Source organism: Homo sapiens, chromosome 1, assembly GCF_000001405.40.
Source record: "Homo sapiens chromosome 1, GRCh38.p14 Primary Assembly".
NCBI lineage: Eukaryota > Metazoa > Chordata > Mammalia > Primates > Hominidae > Homo > Homo sapiens.
Window position 1 is genome coordinate 232,176,566 of NC_000001.11, and position 6,578 is coordinate 232,183,143.

Here is a 6,578-nt window from a genome sequence, read left to right on the forward strand (position 1 = left end):
AAACAACAACAAAAAATAGTTGACTCAATTTATTCAACAGCCTAAGTTGAAAGATACAATTGAAGTATCAGCAATAGGGCAGATTTGGTGGGAGGTGGAAAAGAGAGGGAATTCACACACTGAAATGATTACAAAAGAGAAAATGGGGAGTTGGGAAAGATTAAAATTAGCAGTGAGGGGGATGATGTAGCAGGAGCAATGTTTCTTGCATTACAGATTGTCAGAGAAAAACAGGTGTCCTCAGCCTTTGTCCCCCAGAGTCGAGAAGGGGGCTTCCCCCGGCAGCTGGTCCTCCTCCTTCCACCCAAGGCCTCTCACCCTCTTGGGAGTATGAATGGGCCACCATCTCCTCCAGTCCTGTACTTCCACTGCTCTCCATCCCCCTCAGTTTCAGGACTGGCCCCAAGGAAAGCTTCCTTTTGCTCCTGATATGGTTTGGCTGTGTCCCCACCCAAATCTCATCTTAAATTGTGACTCCCGTAATTGCCACGTGTTGTGGAAGGAACCCAGTGCGAGATAATCGAATCGTACGGGTGGTTTCACCCATATCTTCTCCTGGTACTGAGTAAGTCTCACGTGATCTGATGGTTTTATAAGGGGAAACCCCTTCGCTTGGTTCTCATTCTATCTTCCTGCTGGCAGGTAAGATGTGCCTTTTGCCTTCCACCATGATTGTGAGGCCTCCCCAGCCACGTGGAACTGTGAGTCCTTTAAACCTCTTTTTCTTCATAAATTACCCAGTCTCGGGTATGTCTTTATCAGCAGCATGACAATTGACTAATACAGCTCCTCTTTCAAAAGCCTGGGGAGAGCTGTGGTTTGCTCCAGAGCATCAGAGCAACCTGTGTGGGCCCTGGGGACCTTTCCAGCTAGACATGGGCTGAGCACTCCAGATCCATCACCTCATTTAATCCTCACAAAAGCTGGCAATAAAGATGATGACATGAGGTGTACAGGTTTGGGTGATTTGCCCAAGATCCAACAGCTGGTAAAGGGTTAACCATTGTGTGTGCATCCTGAGTGTGGGGTTCCAACAAACCTGTCTCCCTTCTCCTTTGGTGTGTTTGGCATGATGTCATCAGGGCAGGAGATGGGGCTCTGGGGGTTGTGCGCAGCACTGGGTCCCTATCCATGTTTCACACCAACTAGAAATCATTTTATTATTCATTCCACCTAAAGGGATTGACATGACTTTTCTGAGACAATAACTACTGAAGGTGGAAAAAAAGAACTGATGTCTTGCAATCATAGGCCTACGAGCCTGAGATTGTTACATAAACAGAGAGGAACTTTGATATTCTTTTCAAAGAAGGCTACCACAGAACTCATAAGAAGAGTGATACCCATGTGTTGCTGAAACTGCCTCTGCAAAGATGATGTCAGTGAGAGAACTGTAGCATGGCTGACTCCATCTTGCTTCCAGCCTCACACACTGCCTGTCTTCACTCATTCCTGGGCATAAGCCGATCCAACCATGGAGGAATTTAGTTTATAATTTAATTTTGAAGCAAAGGTGAAAATAGTCCTTCCCTAAAGCTGCTCCCGCCCTTGTTTGGGAGCCAAAATCGCCTATGTAAGATGAAAAAAAGGTCACAAGACTAGAATTATGGGAGAGGCCTGAATTCTGCTAAAACGTAGGCATAGTTTCTATAAACCCTTATTGCTCAGGAGTCATGTGGCCAGAGGTCTGCTCCTATAGATCACATTAGTATTGTAGAACCTAAGATTGATCTTTTGAGATGTTTTTCAGACCTTTGCATTCTGACAACTGACTGGTCCTACCTGTATTCATTGAGTTGACTCATGAGTCAACCAGTTCTGTGGCCCCCATCCAGAGGCAGACTCAGCACATGAAGGCTGTTTTCCACACCCCTATGATTGCATTCCCAGCCAGTCAGAAGCATCCATTCCCTAGTCCCCTGCCCACCAAACTATCCTTGAAACACCTTAACATCTGAGCCTTCGGGGAAACTGATTTGAGTGATAACTCCTGTTCATCCACATGGCTGGCCTTGGATTAAATAAACTCTTTCTTGACGGCAATACCACATTCTCAGTGAACTTTTTCTTTCTGTGCAGTGGGCAGGAAAAATCTGTCAAGTGATTACACTACAAGCCTCCTAAGTGCCAGGCACTGTGCCTGTGCTAACTGGGATCCTCAGGATAATTTTGCCAGGGAATGATTGCCTGCCACACAGCTGACTGAGCCTAGGTGCAGGGAGGTTACATGCCTTGTCAAGGCCACACAGCTAGGAGGAAGCTGAGCCTGGATTCAGGCTGGGCGAGTTTGAATCCAGGTATCCAACATTCCTGCTTCCCAAACACACACTTTATAGCTGTTGAAGTAGCAAGAATGCGTTCAGGAACTCATCATAGGAGACATGCCCAGACTGTGCACAGTTGTCCAAGAATTAGAGTGAAGAGGAAGAGTCATGGGTGAGGGTGGGAGCCAGAGTGGAAGGAAAGGGAGGAAGATTCTTCTAAAACAGATAAAGAAGGGGATGTGCCTGCTGGGCAGCTGTCTGATGGCACAAAACTGTCACCAATATCTACCTGGCTAACTCAGGTCCCCCAAACCCTTCCTCACCTTACTGTGTGGGTATAAATGACTGTTACTCTGACCTTGGTGGGTAAGACCTGGAGTACGTAAACAAACAAACAAAACAAGCAGATAAAACAACAGAGAGAGAAAGAAAGAGAAAAGGGAGGGAGGGAGGGAGGGAAGAAGGAAGGAAGGAAGGAAGAAAGGAAAGAAGGAAGAAAGGAAGAAGGAAGGAAGGAAGGAAGAAGAGTCCATTCGTTTTTCTCACTTAGGTAGAATTTCCATCCTTCTCTGAGCATTAGTTGTGTTCACGTGCATTTACATATGCTAAAAGCTGACAGCTGAGGCCAGTAGAAATTTTGGAAACAAAGTACAATGTGGTGCTATGAATTAAGAATGAGTTTTGTTGTTTATATTTCAAATTATTGGATATGCCTCCTAAGAGTTACCTCCTTTAAGAAACTACAGGAAAGATATCTTAAGAGAAGGAGAATTATTGAAAATAATGGAGCATGTTTTACTAGATATTTTGATTTAAAAATTTTTTTGGACATGAATTGCTTGGCCAATGAAAAGGAATAATAAAGGAAATCTGTTTGTCATTTCTGTCTGGCCCTAGTAAGTTTTCATTGTGCAAACATTTAAAGTGCCTTATTTTGATGGCATGTCAAGTTACAAGCTCGCCAGAGGTGCCCACATGCCTGGTCTGGCCCTGGTTTCAAGTAGCAATTTGAGCCAGCACTGCAAATCCAGCTGGATGACAGAGGTGAGTCCAGGAAAGATCAGGACAAGGCCAAAGAAACAGCCAAACTCTCCCAGGAGGGGCTGGAGGCTTCGATCAATTGTCATTGTCTCCTGTCCCTCTTCCAGCAAAGCTATGGCTGTTTCCTGGCAGCCCTGCCCTGAAGGACTCATCTCACTGTGTCCTTTGTGAGGCCAAGTCCCCTGCGATGCTCTGCCTTCTCCCCAGCAAGGGAGGGTAAACAGGGAACTCCTCCCAGGGAAAGGCTGCTGGCCAGAAGAGATAGGCATTTCCTTAGCAGGATGAAGGTCTGTTGCTCAAACAGACTTGCTGTTTGAGCAGGTGGAGAGGAGATGTGAGGCAAAAGGCAGAGCAGAGAAAGGAGGCATGGCTGGGACCGCCGGTGCTCCCACAGATGGGCATGGCCAAGTGTGGGCCACGTGGCTGCTGCAGAGGTTGCTGGTTTGGCTGACTCACCAGTGTGCCTTTGGAGAAGGCTGCTGTGGGAGCGAGGACCCCAGGAGCAACAGGCTGTGGGGGCAATGCCGAGGGTGGGAGCAGAGGGGTTTGGAAGTGGGGGAGGTAACGTGGATCTTCCTTGTGTGCTCCATAAGCTGGCCAGCACCTGCCCCCCAACCCTCAGGCAAGCTGTCCTGGCCAGAGACAGGGTGGAGGCAGCCAGATATACAAGGGAGAACAGTCCTTTTTCAAATCCTTTGTTCCCAAGCAAATTGGAAGGAAGGAGGGACCTGGAAGAGAGAGGTGGGTAGGAGAGGAGAGCAACCTCTTTTGCTCTTTGTACCAAGGCTTCCTGGCTACAGCCTGGCCCGTGGGAGGGTGGGGGAGGGAGGGGAATTTGTCATTCGAATGGATGTGAAATAAATAGATACTTGAAATGGGCCTTGGCTGTTTCAGTTACTGAAAGTGAGTGGAATGTTATAAAATCTGCCCCAAATGTCATTCAGTGATGGGAAAGGGCATAGTTGAAGGGAGTGAATAAGAACAAAAAAAAAGTCACATTTGAATTCCTACTGAATTCAAACACCTCAATGAACTGGCTGCCTGTGTCCTACAGGGTCTGTTCCTGAGGGCAGAGCTGTATCCAGGCCAGTTAGAGGCAAAGCCAGGAGGGCTGGGGATATTGCAGCAGCACATACATGACCGAGGCCAGGGCTCAGGTCCTTGGGCTGCAGCGCCAGAAAAGATGAAGATGCTGGGAAGGGGAAGTGTGGGGGTTCAGTGTGGAGCAAATGCGTGAGGCACATCCTGGTGGGAAACAGTGGGAGAATAGAACAGCCAGGTGAACTGATCTCTGGGCTCAGACCAAGGCTGTGCACCTGAATTTCTGCTGAAGATCCAGAAATCAGCCCCCAAAGGAATCTGGATCCATTTTCAAGGTGCAGCCTTGCTTTCAACTTCAGCAAATGATGATAGCAAGGTCTAAATCCTAATTAACAACAGCAGCTTACCTTTTTTGCAGGATCCCCATTCATTGTCATCATCCCCAGTTTACTGATGAAGACACTGTGGCCTACAAAGTGTGGCAGCTAGGTTACTTTCCACCAGAATTTGTCCCCACTTTCTAGAAGAGAGTTCTCAGTTGCTCTGACAAGCAGCTGCCTGTCCAAGGACTACGCTTCCCAGCTTTCCTTGCATCCTTCTCCACTTTCTCTCACCTCATCTCTTCGCTGGATGCTGAGGATGCAGAGGCCCTCATGGGTGGTGGGGCCACAAGACCAGAGAGACTGGTTCCCCAAATCAGGGTGTAGAGGGAAGCTGTCCTCCAACCAGGAGCATTTGGATTAAAATGAAAATGCAGATAAAAAGTAAACTTCTATTATGCCAAGCTACCAAGATTTTGAAGTTCATTTGTTACAGCAGGCAGAATTATCCCAACTAGCACAGAGAAATGGAATAAGTTTGACGAGCCAGCCAGGGAGTGGGAAGACTGGAGATAAACTCAGATCTGCCCAACTCCAGAGGAACACCCAGGCCAATCAGGTGCACAACCTGCCAATGCAGGTCTCATATATGAGGGGCTCCCCCTGCCCATAGAGCCTGCGTGTCTGTTTTCGCACCTAATGCTATTGTAATGGGGCGAATGTGGGCTGGCCCAAGGAGTGGACACAGGATAACTATTCTGAGTCTGTGGGTTCCCCTCTGGGGTCAGCATCCAAGCTGTGGGACATTATGCTGAAACTTCATACCAACCCCACTTCCAGGTGGGACCAGACAGGACCAGACAGGAGGTCCATTGAGGTGTGGCCAGCAGACAATGTCTGTTTATTTTTGTTTTTTGGGGTTTTTTCTTTGTTTGTTTGTTTGTTTGTTTGTTTTGGATCGAAACATAGATGGGGCGGTCTTCCTAGAAAGGTACCTGTTCACTGGATTGTCCATGCTAACTCAAGGACCCTGGAGTAGGAACTGGAAATGGGTGAAGAAGTTCCACATATAGACTCCAGCAGAGCTTGGGAGCCATCCCGAGGGCTTCAGCTTCTGCTGTTTGACGTGGAATTGACTTGACAGTAACAGTGATAACAGCAGCTGACGTTTATCCAGGGCTTCCAGGGTTCCAGGCACTGAGCTCACACTGTACCATCTCGTGTCATCCCCGCAGCAGTCTCACGAGCGAGGGTCTTCTGCCAAGTTCACTCTGTCAATGAGAAAATGAGGATGTAGAGGGAATAAGCCCCTTGCCCGGAGCCACACAATTACAGAGCAGCAGAGCTGAGACTCACAGCAAACTCTGCTTCCAGAATTCTGCTCTGAATCACTGGTCTCCAAATGCTCTGGATCTTGCTCTCCATCAGAGACAAAAAGAGCAAAATTTAAAAATTCATTTTATACATATGCAACTCTCACTATGTACATTCAATGTCAGTAGAGCAGGAAGATAGGGAAAAAGCTAGTCACTTTCTAACGTTTCTTCCCTTGCCCTTGGGGCTGTCTGTGCACCCCTGGAGTGGGCACGCTCCCTTTGGAAGTAGGCTCTGGACCCCTCTCTGGATTGTACTCAGATGCCAGGACCACATGTACTTCAATGGCCAGGGTCTTTTCCAAGGGCGGGCAGCCCTGCTCTAGAGAGAACTCAGGGGATTTGGGAAGGCAGGGGAAACACTGATCCTACATTTTGTCCATTGCATTGGCTTCATCACAAGAGGCTGGGCGGTTCTCAAGCCTTATGGTTGCAAAGGCTTTGTAAGATTCAGATGACCACTAGAAGGCATGTTTCTTTTATAGAAATGTCCATAATGGCTGAAAAGTGAAAGGGAGTGAATGCTTCATCAAGGGCCC

General features: G+C 47.7%; 1 annotated feature.

Annotated features, from left to right (window-relative positions):
- Positions 3,676-4,306: an enhancer, noted in NCBI's record as "H3K27ac-H3K4me1 hESC enhancer chr1:232315987-232316617 (GRCh37/hg19 assembly coordinates)". NCBI's record gives its function as "activates a minimal SCP1, AML or CMV promoter by ChIP-STARR-seq in primed H9 embryonic stem cells {active_cell/tissue: H9 hESC(primed)}" and the evidence as "EXISTENCE:reporter gene assay evidence [ECO:0000049][PMID:30033119]".